The 26,197-nt window shown below is 35.9% G+C and overlaps 1 protein-coding gene and 1 long non-coding RNA gene across 6 annotated transcripts in view; one reads left to right on the top strand and one right to left on the bottom strand.

Annotated features, from left to right (window-relative positions):
* The window catches only part of GALNTL6-AS1 (GALNTL6 antisense RNA 1), a 96,947-nt gene extending 84,462 nt beyond the window's left edge, over nucleotides 1-12,485 (top strand). Inside the window, exons 3-5 of one of the 2 annotated variants that reach the window (NR_125895.1) lie at nucleotides 7,856-8,027; nucleotides 10,946-10,978; nucleotides 12,226-12,485. This is a non-coding gene — a long non-coding RNA (GALNTL6 antisense RNA 1). Of the gene's footprint in view, nucleotides 1-5,814; nucleotides 7,734-7,855; nucleotides 8,028-10,945; nucleotides 10,979-12,225 lie in introns of those variants that run through there. The other variant, NR_125894.1, reaches the window with a different exon arrangement.
* The window catches only part of GALNTL6 (polypeptide N-acetylgalactosaminyltransferase like 6), a 1,228,156-nt gene that overhangs the window by 399,143 nt on the left and 802,816 nt on the right, over nucleotides 1-26,197 (bottom strand). The gene's annotated exons all lie outside the window — the stretch shown is intronic.

The following is a 26,197-nucleotide window of genomic DNA, read 5'->3' as shown; positions in this document are numbered from 1 at the left end:
ATTTCTTTCTTTTTTAAGGCTGAATCATACTCAATTGTGTATATATATAATGACCATTTTATTTATCCATTTATTTTTTGATAGACACTTAGGTTGATTCCACACCTTAGTTATTGTGAATAATGCTGCAACGAATATGGAAGTGCAGATATCTCTTTGACACATGAATTTCATTTCCTTTGAATATATACCCAGTGTTGCAATTGCTGGATCATATGATAGTTTTTTTTAAAAATTTTTTGAGGAAGCTTCATACTGTTTTCTACAATGGTTGTACTAATTTACATTCCCACAAACAGTATTCAAGGGTCCCCTTTTCTTCACATACTTGCCAACACTTACTTTTTGTATTTTTGATAATAACCATTCTAATAGATGTAGGATGATATTTCACTGTAGTTTTAATTTTCATTTCCCTGATGATTAGTGTTGTTGAGCACTCTTTCATATACCTGTTGGCCCTTTGTATATCTTCTTTTGCAAAAGTTAATTCAGGTCCTCCGCCCATTTTTTCAATCACATTATTTGTTTTCTTGCTATTTAAAGAGCACCTATAAAGTCCTGGACACTTCCTTAGGAATTTGAATATATCAGGGAAGAAAATGAATAAAGATTCCTGCACTAGAGCACTTAAATTCCTATTTTGGAAGACAGATAAAAAAACAATAAAAATAAATATAATGAATAAGTAAATTTGATAATATGTTACATAAATGGTAAGTAATGTCATGAATAAAGAAAACGTCCAGGTTGAGGGTGGTGGGATAGGGTGGGCAGGGCTTAGGAGCAGTAGCCAATTGTCAGTGAAGGTGTATTGGTAAGGTTCAGATTTAAACCAAGTCTTGAAGAAGGTGAAGGAGCGAGCCATGCAGTTAGCAGTTTGTCCAGAAGAATGATCGAGTAGTAGCCAGAACAAAGGCTCTAAAGCAGGAGCATGACTGGTGTGTTTTAGGATAGGAGGAGGTCAGTTTGGCTGAAGTGTAGTAAGCTGATGTGAGAAGCACAGGAGTAGGTCAGAGCGTTAAGGGGATAGGGAGTTGGGCCCAGAACTGGCAGGGCCTTGTAATTCCTTGTAAGGACTTTTCATTTTACTCCAAGTGAAACGTCAAGCCATTGAAGGATTTTGAATAGAAGAGTAATATAGTCTGACTTATGTCTTAAAAAGATCACTTATGGGTTCTGTTTTGAGAATGGACTACAAAGAAGCAAGAGGAAGACCTGGGAAACTATTGCAGAAATCCAGGCAAAAGATGATGTTGACTTAGTTCATTGTGATTGCAGTGAAGAGAATGATAAAGGATCAGATTTTAAATATATTTTGCAGGTAGAGTGACATGACTTTCTAGTGGATTGTATGTGAGCAGTTAGAGAAGAGAGGGTCAAGGAGGATTCTAAGGTTTTTTGACCAGGATCACGAAAGGATGGTAAAATGGAGTTACTGAGACCCAAGACAGAGATGGCTGTGGGGAGAGTGGATTTCCAGGATAAAATTCATGAGAGATGTTAAAACTATCATATATATGAATCTGAATTTGGGGAGGAAGGTCTGAGTTGGCAGTATAAAATTTGGAATTGTCATATATTATTGCCTGAATTGTGTCTTCCCCAAATTGATATATTGAAGTGGAGAAACTCACAGTTCCTCAGAATATGACTACCTTTGGAGGCAGGGCCTTCAAAAAGGTGTTTAGCTTAAAATGAGGTCTTTAGGGAGGACCTTAAACCAATCTGATTTGTTCTTTGAAGAAGAGGAAATTTGGACACATAGAGTGACATCAAGGGTGCACACACATGGAGAAAAGACCATTTGAAGTCACAGCGAGAAGCTGACCTCTGCAAGCCACGGAGAGTGGCTTCAGGAGAAACCAGCTCTGGTGACCCCTTGATCTGGGACTTCCAGCCTTAAGAACTTTGAGAAATAAATTTCTCTTTTTAAAGACATCTAGTCTATGGTATTTTGTTATGGCAGCCCAAGCCGACTAATATACCATATAAATGGCATTTAAAGACATGAGATTAAATGAGATCATCAGAATGAGTAAAACCTGGGACACTTCAACATATGAAGGCTTGAATGAGTAAAAGGTATGGAGGCAGAACATCCGGTCAAACAGAAGAAACACACAGAATGTTTCCTTTGGTAGTAAGTGAACACACTGTGACACGTGGGAGGGAATGTTCAGCTGTGATGAGTGCCACTACTAGGTGAAGCAAAAAGAGTACTCAGAACTAACTGTGCATTTGTAATGTAATGGTTTTTTGATGACTTTTATAAGATCAGTTTCAGTGAACAATAGAGGCAAATATCTGAATGAAATAGATTTGAGTGAATAGAAGGAGAGGAATTGGGGACAGTAACCATTGAAAACAATTTCTGAAGAGTTTTGCTATAAAGAGGAGCAAAGTAATGGGGTGGTAACATGTGGGAAAAGTGGAATGAAAGATTTTTTTTAAAAAAGACAGGAATAATAAAATGTAAGCTGTTGGCATGATCTAATATAGAGAAAACTTTGATGATGCAAAAGTGAGAGAAACTGCTGGAGCAATGTGCTTGAGTAGATGAAAAAGGATAAGCTTTTATACATGGTATTAAAACATAGAAATTTCACCTATGGTAACAGTGGGAGCCAGTGTGAGTGCAGATGCCAGCAAGTAGATATTATGGTGGGAGCTGGTTCAAAGTCTGATTAGGTTGATTCATATTTTTCTCAGAAAATATGAAACAAGGACATCAGCTGAGAGGGGAAATGGATAAGGAGGTACAGGGAGCTGGAGGAGAGAGAAGAAGGTGTGAAGAGTTGTAAAGTAATAATGAACTAGAAAGACATAGTATAATTACCTGACAATATTAGGGATTCTCTAGGGGTAATGAACATTGTTTGAAAAGAAACCAGTTAATTTGCTTATGTATTTTTTAATCAGCAAATCTCAAGTCCATAGTTCTAGGCAAAGAGTAGGTGAAGAGCTGTGGTTTTAACGAGAAATACAGTGAAACAAGTGAAGAGAAAATGAGTTGAGGATATAGGCAAGGGGTAATTATAATGATGGAGAATTGAATTTAAGCTACACATAGAGGGAAGTGAGGAAACGAAAATGCTGAGGATAGAGTAACATCGGAAAGATCAACGGAATGGAGGTCCCAGTAGGGTTGAGAGTTTTGGATCACCAGTTGGCAAACGTTACAGTAACAATTGTTACAGGCAAGAATCATCGATGAATGCTAAACTTAGTTGACAAAATATGATGAGATGTGGAATATTTATAGTCTCCCTCCCTACCAGATACATATTAGTTACACAGAGAAAACTAACTTTGCAGTGGAGAAATCTGCATGTAACACCTTGACCAAATGATCAAAGTTAATACCAGCAATAATGGGACAAACCAACATCATGTAGCACCTCATATGATGCATTGAGAAGGGCGCGCCACTTCTGTGGTATTATTTTGAAAAATGCACAACTTGATTTTAATCATGATGAAATACTGACAAACCCAATTGAAGGACATTTGACAAAATAAATGGTCAGTACTCTTCAAAAGTGTTAAGTTCATCAAAGTCAAAGAAAGAATGAAGAACTGTCCCAAATTAGAGGCAAGATGACAATTAAATTAATTATGGGATCCTAGATTAAATTCCATAGTAAAAAATAAAAATATTAGTGAGACAACTCATGAAATTTGAATAAGGTTTATTTTTGTCAATGGTGTTGCACCAATCTTAATTTCCTAGCTTTCATAACTATATTTCGATAATTATACTGGCTTTGTAGGATGTTAACATTTAAGGAAGCTGAGTGAAGAAGACATGGGAACTGTGTTTACTATTTCTGCAACTTTTTATGAGTCTGAAATTGTTTTAAAATGAGAAGCTAAAAACTAAAATGTGTCATTGAGGTACCAGAGAGAGGGGAGAGAAAACGCAGGAGGTGGTGGTCAGAGAGTGGGATGCATGCAATTGTGGGGTCTTCATGGAACTAATGAGGCTTGAATTCTAGCTCCCCTGCCCCACCCCACTTCCTTACAGGAGCTTATTTCCTGGGAGGGGCTTTACCAATATGTTCACAGGGATATGTGCTTTTGACATATTTACAGAAGTAAACTATTTTGACCACAACCAGTTAAGATCACTCTCTGCCAATCTAGCTTCTTGTCTGCAATACTTGTCTCCTTGTTGGACAGCAATGGAGAGAGGCCATAGGTATTTTTGAGATCTTACAAAGTCATGTCAAGGATACACTGAGTTTACTTTTTGTGATGTGATTTGTGTGCATGTGTGTGTGGTTTTCAGTCACTTCTGCGAATAGTGAAGTTATTGCAACAATGACTATGGGAGACATGAGCCACTGCTTGGAAAATGAAGGAAAGCCAGTTATATTAAAGAAAGAAAGTGAAGAGAATATTCATAGACTAATTTTAGGATATAAGGCATTCTTCTGATGATGGTTCCTGAAGGACACAATAGAAAAGGTTTAGGAATCAGGGATGGGTAATAAAAGAGGACAAAAATCAAGTATGCGTAGGGTCCAATAGGAGATTAAAGCATGGGAAACTAAGGTGACTTGAGAGTCCTTGTGGTGATTAATGAAAACAGAGTCAAGGTTAGAAGTAGATTATTTTCAGTGGATTTAAGAAGTGTTGTTAGTGACAGAGCTAGATGTAGAACTTAAGAACTTTACCCAATAAGTTATTTGCTTTTTGATTTATCATTAAGATTAATGTTTATACAATTCATGGGAATATTCAATTATGTTAAATGATTTTATTGTTTCACCACACTTTGTAGAATTTATTGTGTTGTTTGTAATTTGACAGGCAGTCTTATTGAATACTTGGGAAAATGAATACTTATGCTTTCAATAATAAACTTGAAATTGCTTAAGGATAATCAACGTGATTAATATTTTTGACTAGTGGCACAGTTACATTCATGTTAATGAAAGGTAAATACAGCAATTCTGTCTGATTTCACAAATCAATTTTATTTCATAAATCTTAAAATGTTCCATGACAGGAATGGTTGAAACCTCCAGCTTATTGATTTTCTATTCCTGTCTAAAGCATTGTACAATTATTTAGAACTGTGTTAGCTTGATAAATAATGCCTTAAATATTTTTAGTATAAATTTTACAGTTTCTAAACATTGGAATTGTGTGATTCTGATTCTGATTTGGTATCATTTTATTATTCTAAACCAAGTTTTAATTTTTTATCCTTACCCAAATTTACCTTTAAGTCCACAAGTTATCACTTAGCAATACCTAATAATCTGTGTATTTCTGAATTAGTAATTGATTAATGAGTTAGCAATTAATATAAAGAATGATGAGTCTTTTTAATACCATTTTAGTTTGGCTGTTTACCCAGTTTTTGGTGTTAGAAACTAATGATTGTTTGGAAATATGTTTTACTGTTCAAATACTCTTGACAAATCTGTAGAAAATTAGACTCATTGTACCAATTTCTTCCCATATAATATATGTAAAGTGTAGCAGAGTTGAAAAAAAATCAAACTATTAAAGCCACTATTAGGAAGAAGAAAAAAGCCTTATGTTCTTTAATATCTGTCAGGATAAATAGAAGTTGTGTTTTATTCCACCCCCAGCAAAGTCTAATTAGATGAGTGCAGTTTTTACCAGGAGCCTTTGATTAAGAAGCATATCAGTTTCCTATTGCTGCTGTTACAAATTACCACACTTACTGACTTAAAGCAACACACATTTGTTCTGGAGGTCAGAAATCCAAAATGGGCAAGCAGGGCTGTACTCCTTTTGAAGGCTGTGGGTAAGAATCTATTTTCTTGCTTTTTCCAGCTCTAGAGGCTGCCTGTGTTTCTTGTCTTGTGGCCCCATTTCACTCTGACCTCTGCTTCCATTGTCACATGGCCTTCTCTGCCCTGACCCTCCTCTCTGCTTTTAAGGACTCTTGTGAGTACACCGGGCCTGCCCAAGTAATGTAGAGGAATCCTCTGATCTGAAGATCCTTAACTAAATCACACCTGTAAAGTCCCTTTTGCCATGTAAGGAAACATTTGGAGGTCTGGGAATTAGGACATGGACATCTTTGGGACACCAGTATTCAGTCTACTACAAGCTTTAAGAAATGTTTATTTTCAGTTATTTACAGTATAAAGTGGTATGCAGTTATCAATAAGATAAACAATGACATGTCATTATTTGGATTTTCCTCTCTGACATCAGACTAATGACCATTATCTTAGTAACTTCCAACAATAGGGTAATTTCTATAATAGTGAATCTGACTTTTGGTTAAAACAATATCATAAAGTTGTATGGTAGAGCAAATGATTGGGTGATGAGATTACATATGATTCCAGGACTCCTTGGTCCTTAGGGACTCTATACCATGAAAAGTATCCTGTACTGAGTGAGTGTTATACTCAATGAAGACAGTGCTTGAAAGGTGGACTGAAAATTTATTTCAAGGAATCTGAAATCCATAGCTTTTACAGAAATGTTGTCATTAGAACTATAGGTTTATCATATGTACCAAATAATTATCATATGGTTTAGTGGATGAAGCCAAATATGGCACTCAGAAGAAACAAATGAATAATTTAAGTTCAATGTGCATCTGAAGTATGATATGCTACCAGAAATGTTATTGGATATAAAGCTTGCTCAAAAATAATATTGTCTACATCAAGAAAAATAATTGTGCCAAACTTGGATCTGATCATCCACAATCTAGAATACTTCATTTGTTTCTAAGTGCTATGTTTTACAAGGAATGTTTAAAAACAGGGCAACATTTGAGAAGAAAGTTCGCAGAAAAATAATAGAGCCATATGAGTAATCTAAACAGGAAATTATTGAATAAGTATATTTGTGAGGAAGGTATGATAGCTCTTTTCAAATATGCAAAATTTGAAAGGGTGTGGTTAAGGGGGGAAGACAGATTAATGGGTCAAATTCAGGGGGAGATTGATCTTGCCTTGATAAAAAACCCAAAACTAAAGCTCAGAATTGTCTTTAGATTAATATGAGTTTGAATTGTAATAATTCCTACTTTTAAATTCCTTCAAGTTACCATAAAGTTCCAGAAATTTAACCTGAGACAGTTCAAAATACATCTTATTTGAATTAAATTTGAAATAAACAGTCGCACTATATTTGAAAAATATCCAAAACACTGATGCCTGTAGCAACTGATTTATATAACATTTATCAAGCAGATACTTAACTCAAACATCCAAGATATTTCTTTAAGATAGGCAGGTAAATAATAGGTTAGGAATAAAAAGTTTAGTTATATTCTAAAGTGTGATACTGATTTCTTAGTGCTTCATGATTACTGAAGCAGACATTTTACAAGTCATGCAAAATTACAATTATGACTTTGAGTAGTTTGCAGTCCTCAATTATGACACAGGTGTTTATATTCCTCTTGTAAAAACTAAATTGATGTAAGCCATCAAATCTGTCATCTATTCATTAATAACATCTATGGATAAGTTGGCTCTTTGAATATAATACAGCTGATGCTCAGATATTTTCTTTTAGTGCCTTTTGTATATATCTCTGTTATTGCATTGTATTAAAATACCTTGTTTAAAATGATTTCTGTTATATTGACTACATGATTAATTATGGGAAGGCAGAAATATACTTTACTCTGCTCTTTGTCCACATTTCCTCATCTAATTCTTGGTACAAAACAGGATTCAATAAATGTTGAATAAGTTGTAGTAATAAAGTTTATTAAACATAAATAAATTTGTGGTTGACTTTATTTAGATTAGGTACTGCTATAATAATGTTGAAACTTTCCCTTGTGAATGAGTGTTCAAAGATTTTCTACTCTTTGCTATATAATTTCATTCTTGCATGTCAGAGATCAAAAGTTGAAGTGCCTATAGGGACCCAGGCTAAGAAATAAGAAGAAATGAAAACTGGGCTAGACCAAGGAGTACATACACTGCCCCACCAAGAAGGTTCCAGAGCTGCTTAGCTCCAGCCAACTATTGCCACGGGGGACAGTGCAACCACATGTTCTAGGTGTTCAGGTAAAGATGAAAATCTGGATTTTTATATAAAAATTTTCAGTTTTTAAGTTATTGGCTACTGTGTGGACCATAAAAAACATGTCTTTGAGCCATGTTTCATTTGCAGGCAGACTGTTTTTGTCACCTCTGCTTTTAGGCCTTGAACACTGCTATGGACTGGAGAGAAAACACTCCAGATGAGAAGCATAACATGAATAATTTATACCTCATAAGTGATGTCCTAAATACAGAGAATAGACACTTCTTTTTGAGAAGGATGGGACATATTGGAAACAGATGGAGGTGAATATGGAGTGTGGTGGTTAGTCATACTGGGGAGAGCTACATTAGATAAGTTATGAAGTTTAGGACTATGTATTAGCCTGTTCCCAGAGACTGGGTAATTTATAAAGGAAAGAGGTTTAATTGACTCCCAGTTCCACACATCTGCAGAAGCCTCACAATCATGCCAGAAGGCGAATGATGAGCAAAGTTACATCTTATATGGCAGCAGGCAAGAGAGCTTATGCAGGGGAACTCCCATTTATAAAACCATCAGATCTCATGAAACTGACTACCACGAGAACAGTATGGGCAAAACTGCCCTCATGATTCAATCATCTCCACCCGGCCCTGTCCTTGACACATGGGGATAATTACAATTCAAAGTGAGATTTGGGTGTGGACATAGCCAAAGCACATATCATTCCACCCCTGGCCCCTCCAAGATCTCAGGTCCTCACATTCGAAAACCAATCATGCCTTCCCAATAGATCCCCAAAGTCTTAACTCATTTCAGCATCAACTCAGAGGTCCACAGTTTAAAGTCTTATCTGAGACAAGGCAAGTCCCTCCCACCTATAAGCCTGTAAAATCAAAAGCAAGTTAGTTACTTCCTAGATACAATGGGGGTACAGGCATTGGGATAAATACACCCATTCCAAATGGGAGAAATTGGCCAAAATGAAGGGGCTACCAGCCCCATGCAACTTCAAAATCCAGCAGGGCAGTCAAATCTTAAAGCTCCAAAATGATTGTCTTTGACTCCATGTCTTACATCCAGGTCATACTGATGCAAGAGGTGGGTTCCCATGGTCTTGTGCAGCTCTGCCCTGTGGCTTTGCAGGGTATAGCCCCCCTCTCAGCTGCTGGTGTTGAGTGTCTGTGGCTTTTCCAGGTGCACTGTCCAAGCTATCGGTGGATCTATCATTCTGGGGTCTGGAGGATGGTGGCCCTCTTTTCAGAGTTCTAGTAGGCAGTTCTTCAGTGGGGACTCTGTGTGGGGGCTTCAACCCCACATTTCCCTTCCACACTGCCCTAGCAGAAGCTCCCATGAGGGCCCTGACCTTGAAGCAAACATCTGCCTGGACATCCAGGCATTTCCACGCATCCTATGAAATCTAGGCAGAGGTTCCCAAACCTCAATTCTTGACTTCTGTGTACCAGCATGCCCAAAACCACGTGTAAGCCACCAAGGCTTGGGGCTTGCATTCTCTGAAGCAATGGCCTGAGCTGTATGTTCGCCCCTTTTAGCCATAGCTGGAGCTGAAGCAGCTGGGATGCAGGGCACCATGCCCCAAGGCTGCATGGAGCAGGAGTCCCTGGGCTCAGCCCATGGAGCCATTTTTCCCTACTAGGCCTCTAGGCATGTGATGGAAGGGGCTGCCATAAAGGTCTGTAACATGCTCTGGAGACATTTTCCCCATTGTCTTGGTGATTAACATTTGGCTCCTTGTTACTTATGCAAATTTTTGCAGCTGGCTTGAATTTCTACTCAGAAAATGGATTTTTCTTTTTTTTTTTATTGCATAGTCAGATTTTTATTCTCTGCTTCCTCTTGAATATTTTGCCACTTAGAAATCTGTTATGCCAGATACCTTAAATTATCTCTCTCAAGTTCAAAGTTCCACAGACCTCTAGGGCAGAGGCAAAATATCACCAGTCTTTTTGCATAACAAGAGTGACCTTTACTCCAGTACCCAGCAAGTTCCTCATCTCCATCCTAGACCGCCTCAACCTAGATTTCTTGTCCATATCACTATCAGCATTTTGGTCAAAGCCATTCAAAAAGTCTCTAGGACGTTCCAAACTTTCCCACATGTTCCCGTCCTCTTCTGAGCTTCCAAACTGTTCCAGCCTCTGCCTGTTACCCAGTTCCAAAGTGGCTTCCACAATTTTGGCTGTCTTTACAGCAGCACCCCACTCTATTGGTAACAATTCACTGTATTAGTCTGTTCTTATGCTGCTAATAAAGACATACCTGAGACTATGTAATTTATAAAGAAAAGTGGTTTAATTGATTCACAGTTCCACATAGCTGGGGAGGCCTCACAATCATGCTAGAGGGCAAAAGAGGAACAAAGTCACATCTTATATGGCAGCAGGCAAGAGAGCTTGTGAAGGGGAACTCCCATTTATAAAACCATCAGGTTTCATGAGACTTATTCACTACCACATATTCACCATATATTTCTAGGTACTGAAAATATTTAAAACATTGATGTAGACTTACAGTGTTAATTCCATTATGAATTATGGCTTCAGATATGTTTGGTTTTATCAGTGTGATATTTTCAAAACTTTTCAGTACTTTATTAAAGATGTACTTCTTTCTTAAATTACCTATCCCTTTTATATTCAGACACATTCATTACTTGTATGGCAAAACAACAAAAACAGAACCCGCTGGAGGGAATCTTGAAAGCAAATCACACTGGTTTTGCTTCACAAAAACATTGTCCACACATGAGTTTTACAAGAATAATATTCCTGAAATTTTACTTTGATGATTGAAATGGTTGAATAGATACTGTTTGTTCTTAGCAGGTTGAATAGAACTATGAGATCGAGTGAAGAAAAGAAAGTAGTTAAATAATGATATTGACAGTCGGAAAAACATTAACAACTGATATTATTGTAATGAAAATTTTGTTTTTTAGTAGAACTTCAAACATCAAAAAATTACTGGCCAGGTACAGTGGCTCACGCCTGTAATCCCAGCACTTTGGGAGGCTGAGGCAGGTGGACTACCTGAGCTCAGGAGTTTGAGATCAGCCTGGGCAACATGGTGAAACCCAGTCTCTGCTAAAATACAAAAAATCAGCCAGGCATGGTGGTGTGTGCCTGTAGTCTCAGCTACTCGGGAGTCTGAAGAAGAAGAATTGCTAGAACCCGGGAGGCGGAGGAGGTTGCAGTGAGCCGAGATCATGCCACTGCACTCCAGCCTGGGCAACAGGGTGAGACTCCATTTAAAAAAAAAAATTACTACATATTCAAAAAAGTTAAAAAAAAACAACCCTGTGTTTTGTTGCAATCAGTACTTGTTAAATGTCTAAAGAATTTTATGTTTTTCATTGGTTGATGTTTCATTTACATAATGACTCTATGCAATTGTCAATTACATTTTTCATACAGTTTATATATATTGCATCTCTATATATTATTGTAACCACTACTTGTTAGTTTTCTTAAGAATTTTATTTTCTGTTGGCCAATTTTCTTTTACATACTTACTCAAATATCAGTTATATTTTCTATGCAGTATATATATATGTATATAACATATATGCTTTTCCACAAAGCTATCTTGTTTTTATATAATTAGAGGGAATCAGAAAGATAAGTTCCCTCTAATTATATAAAAACAAGATAGCTTTGTGGAAATGCATATACGTTATTTATATATGTATTATATATATATATGTTGAGTTGGAGGAATAAAGGAAAAGTAATTAAAGAAAATATTTTTCAGAATGAAGCTGTATGAAAGCTTAAAAGTAAACTGTAAAAAAGAAAAGATGAGGATTGGATGGCTGTCTTAAATACAGATTGCCATGGAGATAATGGCTATTTCACAGGCTCAGAGATAGAACTCTTGAGCAGCAGATTTTTCCCCTCCAGTTTCTGTGGCAATGTGATTGGTAGAGATGCAGGTGCATTATCAGCTTGCCGATACTGCCCTGGAGCGACTGATGGAGATAATTACGATTTCTAGTAGGAAAATTTCCCTAGAGATGATTTGTTATAAAAAGATAAAATGTATATTAATGTCCTTCCACACCATGACCTTGGTTTTGAATTTTAGATTTCCAAGTATTTCACTGGAAAACTCCAGTCTTACTTGGGTTTGATTCTTTGACCTCAGGTCTCAAGGTTTTACTTTTTACTTTGGTTTATTGAGTCTTTTTAGGTTTGTAATGGTTATGTTTTCTCTTTTTAGGTGTGGTGAAAACCTGCAGAAGACTGACAGTAATGAAAGTGGCTTGAGAAAAAGTGAGGATATTTGCAGATTGAAAAAAGAAAAACAACTTCCTATTTGGGGGAAAATCTCAGTGATGAAAAAAATTGTCTCAGGAGGATTTCCCAGCATCATAATCTTCCTGAACACTGAATTCTCTAGTTAACTACAGAAATCATGTGTTACATAAAGATAAGATGGTCAAGGAAGGAAAAGATCTTACAATATATTGCTAATAATAATCCCTGAGGGAATAATTTTAAATGATCTCTTAATGTGACAAGCAGATTTTTAATGATTTTCTTATCTTGAATCCATAAAACACAAGTCCTAGGGTGTCATAATAAATACAACTGAGCTAAAATTTGATTTCCCAGGTGCACAGGATTTTATTTAATATGGAATGTTCTACATCATCATTGGAATTCCCATTGCTCAGCCTTCATTTCTATCTATACCTATGGGGATCATAAACAATCTTTTAATTGAAGTGATAATCCATAATAGCATTGATGGTTGGTGTATAAGCAGCAGAAACTGTAATGTGAAAATGCTTCAAATTTAATAGTGGTAACTGTTGAATTTTAAATTTTGTACTTTTTATCATAGATAAAAATGTAATTAGAAATTTTAATTAAATGCAAAAGTAATAAAAGTTGCTTGTCACATAGAGGGTAAAGTCTCAAAATATATTTAAATATTCCTTTTCACCAAAAGAGTATTAATAATTAATAATTTCATAATCTCATACCAAAATTCAATTCCGATTCTCACATGAGAAATTCTGCATTTTTAAAGCATTATAAGACTAACAAAATTTGTTCTTTTTTAATGATATAAAATGCTTGTCCATAAATAATAAATTTATTATCTTAGGAACCTTCAAAAATCCTTCAAATCTGACTCTTGGAAAAAAGTAAATGAGTTATTTTCTTCCGTGTACTGAACAATTTGTTCCTCTTGATGAACCACAAATTAAAACAGAAGAAAACACACAGACACACACCACACACAGAGACATACACAAAGGCACACACAAGACACAGATAGACAAACACAACTTTACTAACAGCATTGCTGTACATAAAAGTGATTTTTTGGAAGAGTGGATGTCTTTGTGTGTTTAGATAAGGATTTGGTAAATCAAGAAGGCTGTGACTCCCAGAGTGTAAATCAGAATCTTTGTGGCATATACGAGGTCAGGGGAAAATTATCGTGTGCACTCCAGTTCAGTAACAACAGAAAAGTGGATTACAAAGTAGGTACTTTTTTTTTTAAATGAAGGATCTTGAAAATCTTTTAATATTCATCAAAAATTACCAAGAAAGGTTACATTTTCTTCTTAGGAAAATATAAAAAAGTTTACTTTGCTATGAAATCTTTGTTTTTAAGAAAGTCTTCTAGCACTAGCATTCCAAAAACTTCACTTTGGAAGTCACTATCTGCAACAAAGAACAATATCAATTGTGAGCCCTTGAATAATGGCATTCACAGAGAGACACTGACAATACGCATATTCAGAGATATACCATCTCTGCTTGCCAGCACCTATGGGCACAAAGAAGCTGAAGTTTGGTTAAAGAAACGGCCAGGGCAAGGAATGAAGTTTTTGTAATTATGTTTCCAAGAGAATAGGCTGGTCTTGAATGCCTGAGCTCAAGAGATCTACCCACCTCTGCCTCCCAAAGTGCTGGGATTATAGGCATGAGTCATCGTGCCCAGCCTACCTGCAGCAGAGTTTAAATACTTGATAAAAAATTTAATCCAAGGTTAAATATTTTGAAAAAAGAGACATCAGTAGGACTTGAGATTGTGACTGATTTATTTACATTCAGATGTATGCTTGTATGCTTTCTCATTTCGAAAAAGATTTGAAGCAGTTGCTATAAACACTAACAGACAAGATGTTATCAGCAAAAGTGAATGGAAAATGTACATATAAAAGAATACTGATGTTGATTTGATTATAATAATAAACCAACTAAGTAGTCACAAGAAAGTGATTAAGAGGTCAAGGGTAGTAAAAGAGTCAGACAATATAAGAAATATATAGAGTGATGAGGGTGCATGACAGTTTTTTTATATTCCTATAATGTAGCAGCATGTAGTGAGTATATTTTTCTTTATTTCATAGAGCACTGCACAATACTAAAAACTCACAGAGCAGAACTGAGAGAAATTGAGACCCCGAAATCCATACAAAGAATCACCAAAACCAAAAGTAGTTTTTTTTTTGAAAGGATAAACAAGATCAATATACTGCTAGCTAGATTAACAAAGAAAAAGAATATCCAAATAAGCACAATCAGGAATGACAAAGATAACATTATAACCAATCTTACAGAAATACAAAAAATTCTCAGAGACTATTATAGAACTCCTGTATGCACATGAAGTAGAAAATCTAGGGAAAATGGATAAACTCCCAGAAACACACAACCTCCCAAGATTGAAACAGGAAGAAACTGGAACCCTAAGCAAACCAGTATCAAGTTTCAAAATTGAATAAATAAATTAGTAATAAAAAACCTACCAACGCAAAAAGCTCCTGACCAGATGGATTCACAGCTGAATTCTACCAGACATACAAAGAAGAGCTGATACGAATTCCACTGAAACTATTCGAAAAAAAAAAAACAAGGAAGAGGCATTTCTTCCCAACTCATTCTATGAAGCCAGCATCACTTTCATACCAAAACCTGGCAAAGATACTATGAAAAATGAAAACACAGGCCAACATCCCGATAAACATAAATGCAAAAATCCTCAACAAAACACTTGCAAGTTGAATCCACAGCGCATCAAAAAGTTAATTCACTAAGATCAAGAATGCTTGATTACTGGGATGCTGGGTTGGTTCGACAAATGCAAATCAATGAATGTGATCACTGCATAAAGAGAATTAAAAACAAAAGCCATATGATCATCTGAATAAATGCAGAAACAGCCTTTGATGAAATTCAACATCCCTTCATGATAAAAACCTTCACCAAACTAGGCATTGAAGAAACGTACCTCAGAATAATGAGTCATCTATGACAAACTCACAGCCAACATCATATTGAATGGACAAAAGCTGGAATCATTCCCCTTGAGAACTGGAACAAGACAAGTATGCCCACTCTCACCACTCCTATTCAAGATAGCATTGAAAGTCCTAGCCAAAGCAATCAGGCAAGAGATATAAATATAAGGCATCTAAATAGGAAAAGAAGAAATCAAGTTGTCTCTCTTCACTGACAATATGATTCTACATCTAGAAAGCTCTAATGATACTGCCAAAAGGCTCCTGAAACTGATAAAAATGATTTCAATAAAGTTTCAAGATACAAAATAAATTTATAAAAATTAGTGCCATTTCTATGCAACAATAATGTTCAAGCTGAGGGCCAAATCAAGAATGCAATGCCATTTACAATAGTCACACAAAAATTACCTAGGAATACAGCTCACCAAAAAGGTGAAAGATGTCTACAAAGAGAACTACAAAACACTGCTGCAAGAAATCAGAGATGACACAAATAAATGGAAAAACATTTCATACTCATCAGTATTGTTAAAATGGTCATAATGCCCAAAGCAACCTACATATTCAACACCATTCCTATCAAACTACTAATGCAATTTTTCACAGAATTAGAAAAAAACTATTCTAAAATTCATGTGGCACCAAAAAAAGACCTGAAGAGCCAAAGCAATCCTAAACAGAAAGAACAAGCCATGAGACATCATGTTACCAGACTTCCAAGTATACTATAAGGCTACAGTAACCAAAACAGCATGGTTAAAAACAGACACACAGACCAATGAGACAGGATAGAGAACCCAGAAATGAAGCCCCACACCTGCAGCCATCTGATCTGCAACTAAGTCTACAAAAATAAGCAAGTGGAAAGGACTTTCTATTCAATATATGTTGCTGGGATAGCTGGCTAGCCATATGCAGTAGAATGAAACTGACCCCTACGTTTCATCATACATAAAATTGAACTCAAGATCGATTAAAGATTTTAATATAAGACCACAGACTATGAGGATGCTAGACAAAAACCTAGGAAACACCATTCTGGACATCAACCTTGGCAAATAATTTATGATTAAGTCCTCAAGAGCAATTCCAACAAAAACTAAAATTGACAAGTGAGATCTAATTAAACTAAAGGGCTTCTGTACAGCCAAAGAAACTATCAACAGAGTAAACAGACAACCTACAGAGTGGGAGAAAATATTTGCAAACTATGCATCCAACAAAGGTCTAATGTCTAGAATCTATAAGGAACTTAAATAATTTAACAAGAAAAAAAATCCCATTAAAAGGTAGTCAAAAGACATGAACAGATACTTCTCAAAAGAAGACATACAAGCAACCAACAAACATATGAAAAAACACTCAACATCACTAATCATAAGATAATTGTAAATCGAAGCCACAATGAGATACTATCTCACACCAGTCAGAATAGCTATTATTAAAAAGTCAATACACAACAGACATTGGTGAGGCTGAGGAGACAAGGGAACGCTTATACATTTGGTGGGAATGTAAGTTAGCTTAGCCACTGTGGAAAGCAGTTTGGAGATTTCTCAAATAACTTAAAATAGAACTACCATTTAACCCAGCAATCTTATTACTGGGTATATATCCAAAAGAAAATAAATCATTCTACTGAAAAGACACATGTAGTCTTTTGTTCATCGTGATGCTATTCACAATAGCAAAGACACGTAGAATCAACGGCAGATTGGATAAAGAAAATGTGGTACATACACAGCATGGAATACTACACAGCCATAAAAATAATGAAACCATGTCCTCTGCAGCGACCTGGATGCAGCTCAAGGGCATTATTCTAAGCAAATTAATCAGGAAATATTGCATTTTCTCACTTATAAGTGGGAGTTAAACATTGGGTATGTACGGACATAAAGATGGGAACAGTAGATAATGAGAAATGAGGTCAAGGGTAGTAAAAGAGTCAAACAATATAAGAAATATATAGAGTGATGAGGGTGCTTGAAAGTTTTTTTTATGTCCCTATAATGTAGGCAGCATGTAGTGAGTATATTTTTCTTTATTTCATAGAGCACTGCACAATACTAAAAACTCACAGAGAAGAACTGAGAGAAATTGAGACCCCGAAATCCATACAAAGAATCAACGAAACCAAAAGTAGTTCTTTTTTTGGTTGAGAAATACTGGAGGACAGAGGATGGCGTAAAGGGTTGAAAAACTTACTACTGGATACTATGCTCACTACCTGGGTGACAGGATCAGTGGTACTCCAAAACCTCAGCATCAGACAATATACCCAGGTTACAAACTGGCACATGTACTCACTGAATATAAAATAAAAGTTGAAATAAAAGAAAAAAAAGACCTGGTAAGAAAAAACAAAAAAATAAAAAAAAAACTACCAAGGAAAACAAGGTGATGAATACAGACCAACATTGTCAATAATGAATTAGAAAGTACTAAAACACATTGTATGATCTAATTGCATTTATTTACTGCAGAGCAGTAGATACTTGTTAGTCTCCTCAATGTTTGTCTTCCCTCTGTAAAAAATGCCTTTTCATACGCCAGTAATAAACTTTAGAGGTCAATGTTTAGACTCCATGGATTTCAGATTCAATCTGATTCAGATTCTCTCTTCTAGGAACTTGAAATTGGGGTTTGCAGAAGTAATGAGTCTCTTCAGACTACCTGTACGCTGGTTGCTCAAAAACTGTAGGAGAGCATTTTTTTTTTCTAGGTGGATGGTTGGAAAAGCAGAGAAAGATGGATCTATCCAATAACAAGAACCAAAAACCACACAATTGTAACCTGAGAGGTGGAAATAAGAAATTATGAGATCCTAGAGAAAAATAAAGCAGCTTTAAAACAAAAACAAACAAACAAACAAAAAACAAAAACAACAACAAAAAAGCACTCCTGTTAAGTTCTGCATTTGATCATACAACTCAATTTTGGGTCCAAAGAAAAAAGAACTTAAATTAATTTTTGCTTAAGCTAGAAGAGTTTATGTTCTTGTAAGAAAAAGTGTGCTGATCAACACAGTGATATATGCAAATTCCTAAGATGGATATCACATTTTAAATTATATTGGATGATCCATATAGTTGTCAAGTACAGGCTTCTGTTAATTTAGAAATTTTGGAAACATTATCCTAAACTGTATAGGTTCCATGATTAATTCTAAATGGAAGTAATTTATACTGGATGAATTAAAGTAAAATGCATGCAAAATATAATTGATGTGTAAAATATCTCATGAATAAAATTTGAGACATAATGGTAAAGCAAAAATTAACAAAATGAAAAACTGGCCTAAGATGGACCAAGGCCCAAACTGAAATAATGAAAAAATTGCCTTCCAGACCAAAACCTAGTTCACACACAATGTTAGAACAATAAAAAGGCTATCTGAATGGACAAGACTGGAAGATAGTGTCTTGCATTCTGGCCATGGTAGAATGTCAGCCAAGAATTAAATTTATTGCAAGAAAGCTGGAAAATTAGTTGAGTTTTTCCATAGAAAAGAAATAAAGGAGCTGAATGGAAGGATATTGATTGGCTAGATTACAAAACACAACTGTAACTTGGTTCTTTTTAGTAGGTACCTTATGTAATTTGGTGTTCTGATTGATGCCTTTAATATTAAAATTCCTATTTAATAAAAACATGGTCCTTCTGGCTTTTGGATAGTTTCTATTTTATCTTATCTCATTATCCATCTTTTCCTCCTTTTCTTCCTCCATTCTACTTTACTTTCTTCTTTCATCTTTCTTCTAATTTTTTATTTAAAATTATATACATATGATCACATAATCGACATCTGTAGTTTAAAGAGCACATAGTTCTATAAGATTTGTTAAGAAATACATCAGTTCAGAGCATTCACGTTTCTTTTTCCCTGAAGCACTCCTTTTTAACTTTTTTAGTTGATTCTTCGGGTATTTATCTTCATAGCTCAGTAAAACTTGCTTGCATTGTTACTTAGTTTTTCAGTTTCGTGCATTGATTTTTGACAATAAAGGATAAGGATTTAGCCTTTATCCTTCTTGCCTCTCCTCTACTGCCACCCACACTTCTTATTGTTGTCTTATTGTATCCTTTTTAATTATGTTGCAGCCTAGGTTTAGTTGGAGCCCTTAGTGTTTACATCATTATCATGCTCTAACTTAAATCTCTTAGTGAACTAGGATTATTACATTTTCTCTCTTAAAAAACACAAATTTTTTTGGTATGGACTTAATTTTTGTTCATTTAGTTTTCTAGATACATTTTACTGTTCAACCTTAAACGCTTTGTCAATTATTCACATCTCCTCATCATCAAATTAATATTAAAGAAACCTCTTCTAGATCCTCAGACCTGGATCACCCTGGGCTAGGTCGGTTTCTACTGTACCTGGCACACAACAGTCCTCTGGACACATCTTTTCATGCTCATCCTGGGGATTCCTTTGGACTGTTTTCTCAGTGAGTTCTCCTATTCCTATCAGCCTCTCATGCATTCCTTTTTTCTTTTCTTCCTAGTTTCAGAGGAGCATATTATCTAGCAGATTTCTGGAAAAGTGTCTGTGGAAGGTGAAATTGCTGAGAACTTGGAGGTCTGAAAATGTCTTCACCTTTCCATTGGACAGATAATTGATATAGATTTTAAGTGGGACATAATTTTTCTTTAGCGTAAATAATTTTCTAGCTTCTAATGCTGTTGAGAAATCTGAAAATACCTCTTTGTCTTTTTAATGTGATCCATTGTTTTTCTTCTATGAAATCTTACATAATTTTTTTCTGTTCCTTGTTTCTAAAATGTTAAGATTATGTGTCTTGGAGTGGGTCTACTTTTATCCATTGTGTTGGGCATCAAATGAGATCTTTTGAGTTGGAAACTTTAGTTGTGACAAATTCTCTTGAATTATTTTATTTATGATTTGTTTTTCTCTCTATTTTCTGTTTCTTGAGTTCCTATTAACAGGATGTTGGGAAAACTGGACTATTTTTCATAACTATCTTTCTTTTTCTTATTTTCTTGTTTTTACTTGCTCCAATTTCATATGAGATTTTATCTTTAAAACAAAAAACTTTCCATTGAGTTTGATAGGTAGGGAGGACCATGACCCTAGTGTGAGGACCAGGGATGGCAAATCGAGGAAGAGCTTGACGTTGGGCAGCATATGGAGGAGTGGGACCCTGGATAACACAGAAACCTCGGTCCCATGAATGCCGTTAGATTGGTAAGAAGACACACATCCAAGCAAACCTTGGTATTATTCTTAAATTCTAAGATTAAAGAGAAATATAAGCTTCTAGGAAGAAAAAAACATTAGCTACAAAGAATATATAATATCGGCAGAGTATTGAACTTCTTTATGCAACAGTGGAATTGCATATCAAGGCTATTGTGAGGAAGTAGAAACCTAAAACCTAGGATTCCTATATTAATCTCAGATTAAAGTTATTTGTCAGAGCAAATGAAAATTAGTTTAGAATATCCAGAATATCAGAAAGTATATCATGTTTCACATACTTCTAAGAAAAATACTTTAAAACTGTATTACAAACAAAAGCAAATAAACCAGAAAAATCTCTTTTTAGAGGAATAAACAAAATAATATTTTAGCCATAAACTGACGAGGTTGTAAAGGACAAAAAATTGGAAGTTGGAAGTAGATTAATTGTTGATAACAGAATTAGGGGACCCTGGAAAGTAATTCCCCAACTAGCAATTGTGAAAGACAAGAACTAACCTGCAGAATCTTTAAAAGTCTCAGAAAATTGAGGCTACTGTTATCTCCAGAAACAGTGGTAAAATAGGGTGGGCACATTGGCTTATGCCTGTAATCCCAGTGCTTTAGGAGGCTGAGATGGGATTATTGCTTGAGGCCAGGAGTTTGAGAACAGCCTGGGCAACATAGCAAGATCCCATGTTTACAAAATAAAAATTTAAAAATTAGCTGGGCATGCTAGCTACTTAGGAGGCTGAGGTGGAAGGATCACTTATTTTTCAGAAATAAACCAAAATGAAATTCTGCATTTCTCCTATCCCAAGTCTTCTTAATTTATGCCTTCATAATGATATTTTATTCCTTACAAGCTTTAATCAATAAAAAGAAAGCCGAGCTTCTCAGTTCACAAGAGCTTCCCCTGACAGAGGGCATCTTATTAATGCTAGGTCACAAAAAGAGAGTTTTCCACCCAAAGATGCATCTCTTCAGTATCAGCCATAAGGCTAAACAGAGGGAATGCGTTATGAAAACTCTAAATGGAACCAGAGTTTGGTTCAGGAACACAAAGTAGAGGATCAAGACTTTAGATAAGGGGAATAAGGACTGTGGAAAATACCTTGAAATATCCATGGATATTTGCAGCTAACTTCAATTTGCTAACAACTCAGGGAACTCTCTGTGTAAAGAATCCTCAATTAAAGAGGCAGAAATGGGACAGACCCTCTCTGCAACACTCGAAGTCTTTAATTTGGTGCCATTATGTAACAAATGAAGAAAAGTTAGGTGGAAAATTTAGGAATGCTTATAGTTTCTGTAACAACCTTTAAAGTAATATTAAATTTTGTTTGATGGATAAAGTCATTGATATAATTCTGTCTTCGGTGCTTGCAAGACGGTGTTTGTATATAAGAGTGTATTTGTGCTTTGTGTTAGAACAATTGATATTTCTAGATTACTAAATAAAGCACTATAGCAATAACATTTATAATCAGGAACAAAACAGAATGAAATAATAGAAACATTTAAAAATTTTTCTATGAGTGCTATACATGGTTATTCATTTACTATAATCTTCACCCTTTTAAAATGTACTATAGGGACCTCCAAGTTTGACCTGTTTAAATAAATTCTTACCTACAGAACAGAAACAAGCACAATTCACGTTCATGAATAATTCTGCACGGTAAAAAATAACAAACCAGACTACACCCTTTTTATATTGGAGATTTCTCCCTTCCTCTCCCTTTCTTTAAACTCCTCTGTGTTGTGCATACATTACTATATCATGTAGTTATTCTTAGCAAAGTTTACATAAGCTCGAACCATCTTGGCAACTTTTCTTTAGTAAATGCAGACTAAAAACATGAAAACTGTGACAGTGCTGTTGGAAAAAAAATAGGTCCCAAATAGTGCATGTCATAATGAAAGGAAAGGTAGCTTTGAAGAGGCATGTGACATGTTTGCAACTACAGCTCAGATATGCCTCTTGGAAAGTAATAATAATTGCCTATACACAGGAGAAAGGTTTCTTTGCAGCTTCAATGACATAGGCCTTTGAAGAAAAGATTTCTTCTGACATATGCATTTCATAGTACTTACGAATAAAAAGAAAGGTGAAACTCATGTGGCTATTCTTATCCAAGGTATATATACACACTCCGGGATATTGTTATGTTATCTGACAGTCATTAAATCTCAAAACTTCAATTCAGGGATCAAATAACCAGACACTTAAAAAACAAAGCTGACAGAAAAAACACAAAGCAACCTCAAAAAGGTCATGCCTCAATAACTAGGTTAAGTTTTTGAGATACTGTACTGTTGCATTCAACTTAGACCTGAATCTTACATAGTTTGAAAGCATATGACAAAGTTCCAAATCAGTGATTCTTGCTGAAGCTATGAAGGCATACTGCAAAAACATAAAATTAGTTTGTTGTTCTGAAAAAGTGACTAAGAGAGAGGGAATCAATATTAACACAAGAGTCATAATGTTGGGGAAAAACCTCTCGTTTTGTTATCTGAGAAAGAGTGAATGAATTGGCAGAATGAAAAGACATTTATTTGTGCAAATAAATGACTAGGATGAAGAGTAAAGGTTTTCTAGTATGGTATTGCATGTGCACTCATGCATATTTTCAGACATGATTCAGAAGTGGAGAGACGTGATTGGCTGTCGATCTGGCATCAAGGCTAGAGGATGAAGGGCGCGTAGGAATCTTTTCCTTCCCACCAGATTATTGAAGGAAAAAAATGCTGTTATAATTTGGCCCCAATTTATGTCTACCTCAAAATCCTTTTCAGATCTCTAATATTAAAAATAAAAAAAAGACTCTTCTCCCAGGCTTGCTTTTCCTGACCTCTTATTTAAGCCAAGAAGAGAGAGGGAGACACTGGGCCACTAAAAAAAATTAGTGATTGGTCGGGTGCTGTGGCTCATGCCTGTAATCCCAGCACCTTGGAAGGCCGAGGCAGGCGGATCATGAGGTCAGGAGATCCAGACCATCCTGGCCAACATGGTGAAACCCCGTCTTTATTAAAAATACAACAATTAGCCAGGTGTGATGGTGCGCACCCTTAATCGCAGCTACTTGGGAGGCTAAGGCAAGAGAATTGCTTGAACCCGGGAGGCAGAGATTGCAGTGAACCGTGATTGCACCACTGCACTCCAGCCTTGCAACAAAGTGAGACTCCCTCTCAAAAAAAGAAACAAAAACAGTGATTTTGTTATTATTAAGTAATAAATCATGAGAGAGAATAAACACATCATCTCTAGGTACAGAATTTTTTAAAAAAACAATAGAATGTATAGATGCAAGTGATAACATTTCTAAGACTCTTATATCTGATTGTGTTAAGTGATGTCCAGGTGTTTGGGAAGGTCCATTTCCCATGATTTTCATTGTCCCATAGATAAAGTGCAGAAGAATTTCTCTCTTTACTAAATTTATTACCAAAGAAAGCAGATGAGTTGGGTCTGGGGCATTCATTGGGCTGTGTTACTAGGGAGTAGAATATTAGTGAGAGGAGTATAATGATGTTTTTACGGAAGCACTCTGTGCCTTGGTTTCTTGGAGTGTTTTCTGTGGAATTGCCTTTTACCAACAGCATCCTCAATGTTTTACCTATCATATTATGGCAGAAAATGACACAATTTTCTGGGCACTTAGTGTTAATGAAGGAGATTGCTTTCAGCTCCATATGACCAGTCCAGGGGCACAAGCTGCCCAAAACCAAGCCCTTTTGCTGCCAGGGCTAATCACCATATCCTTATATTAGTAACTCTTGCCGACTACACCAGTGTGACAGGGAAAGCAGAAAAAAGGCTGCCTAACTCACTGAGAGAATACATTGAAATTTGGTATAAAATAACAATAAAGAATTTGCATTTTCCACTGCATTCCTTTGTGCATTTATGCCATATTTGAGAATCTTTTGGAGAAGGAGGGACAGAGGCAAGACAGGGTTCCAGATGGAGGAATTAATAATTTATCCTAGAGGTGCATGTTGGAGCAACTGATTCAGGCAATGTACATTGTCACATTATAATAGCAGCAAAGGGGTGGTTATGTAAAGATGAAATCATTCACTCCATTTGGTATTTTGTATTTATCTTTTGAAGGTTACACCCACTTTGGAGGTTTTATTTAAATAAAGTTAAGGCTGGGCACGGTGGCTCACGCCTGTAATCCCAGTACTTAGGGAGGCCGAGGCGGGTAGATCATGAGGTCAGGAGATTGAGACCATCCTGGCTAACACGGTGGAACCCCGTCTCTACTAAAAATACAAAAAAAAAAATTAGCTGGGCGTGGTGGCGGGCGCCTGTAGTCCTAGCTACTCGGGAGGCTGAGGCAGGAGAATGGCGTGAACCCAGGAGGTGGAGCTTGCAGTGAGCTGAGATCGTGCCACTACTCTCCAGCCTGGGCGACAGAGCGAGAATCGGTCTCAAAAAAATAAAATAAAATAAAAACACATAAAATAAATAAATAAATAAATAAAGTTAACATGCATTTTCTTTTCTTCTTTTTTTTTTTTTTTGAGTGTCTTTCATATTCTGGGTCCCAAGATAGGGTCTAAAGGAAATTAAGGGTAAATAATAAGGCAGTCAGCCTGACTTTAAAGCTCACATGATAGTATCCTCAATAGCTAGTTTATCTCATTCCTGAGATGCTGTTATTACAAAAGAACTTCTCATTTTTAAAAATATGCACCATATTTTTCTGTCTTTTCATCAAGGACAGAATGTACAGCTATATATATCCTACACCCAAAATGCCTTATAATTACGCACACACACAAACAAACACACTACTTATCTTTCTACCTACTTATGCAGGAGAAGCCGTCCAGAAAATGTGTCTATTTTTGGCTGTAGGATTACCATACAAAAAAAAAATGCGAAACATTTTACCTTCTCCTCTGCTAAAAAACCAAGAGCTTTGAGACCTGGAAACCCAGATTACTTTTTATCTGGGAATAAAGGTAAGAGGTCCCTCCACTGAAATTCTAGACTCTTGGAAAGGGGAATAGCTCTTCTTGAGGTAAAAGTGATTTTATGGCAGGGTGTGTGGGTTCCTTGAAAGGTGGAGACCTGTGTTTTTCTTCATGAAAAGAAACTCATGAAGATTCAGCCCACTGAGGGACGTGGTGCCTGGTTTTCAGGAGAACTGGATCCCAAGACCCTTAGCCTGGGTTGTTCACAGAAGCTTCCTTGGAGATCATGTTTGGCTTGGAGCACATGGATGTCATAATTTCAGAGCTGCTTACCTGCAAATAGAACACTCAGGTTCTGGCAAGAACAAATAGACCAAGCCTTCTTTTCCCACTCTTTCTACACTGTGATTCTCTAGATCTAATATAATCCCAAGAACAACAGGAAAAAAAAACTTTGCAAAAAAAAAAAAAAAAAGAGTATGGATTTTCTGCCAACTTTGCTGCTTGGGAGTGGAGTTGAATATAATTTGATTTTAAAAAAATTATTTTTCTCATACCAAAGTATCATGAAACAAATGTGTACCAATTAGACAAACATAAATACATATGTTATAGAAATGTCTCCCTCTGCAGATGTTCAGCAACATTCTGAAGAAGTCAGTTAGGACCAAATAAGACAAAAAAAGGGGTGTTATAAAAAACAAAAAACCAAACAACTGCTATTTGGTTACAATAGACGATTGAGCATTGAGGTTAAATAAAGAACATTCTCTCAACTGCCTGTGGAG

Source organism: Homo sapiens, chromosome 4 (assembly GCF_000001405.40).
Source record: "Homo sapiens chromosome 4, GRCh38.p14 Primary Assembly".
NCBI classification, from domain to species: domain Eukaryota; kingdom Metazoa; phylum Chordata; class Mammalia; order Primates; family Hominidae; genus Homo; species Homo sapiens.
The sequence above is the reverse complement of the archived record's forward strand: the minus strand, read 5'-3'. Positions and strand labels throughout refer to the sequence as shown.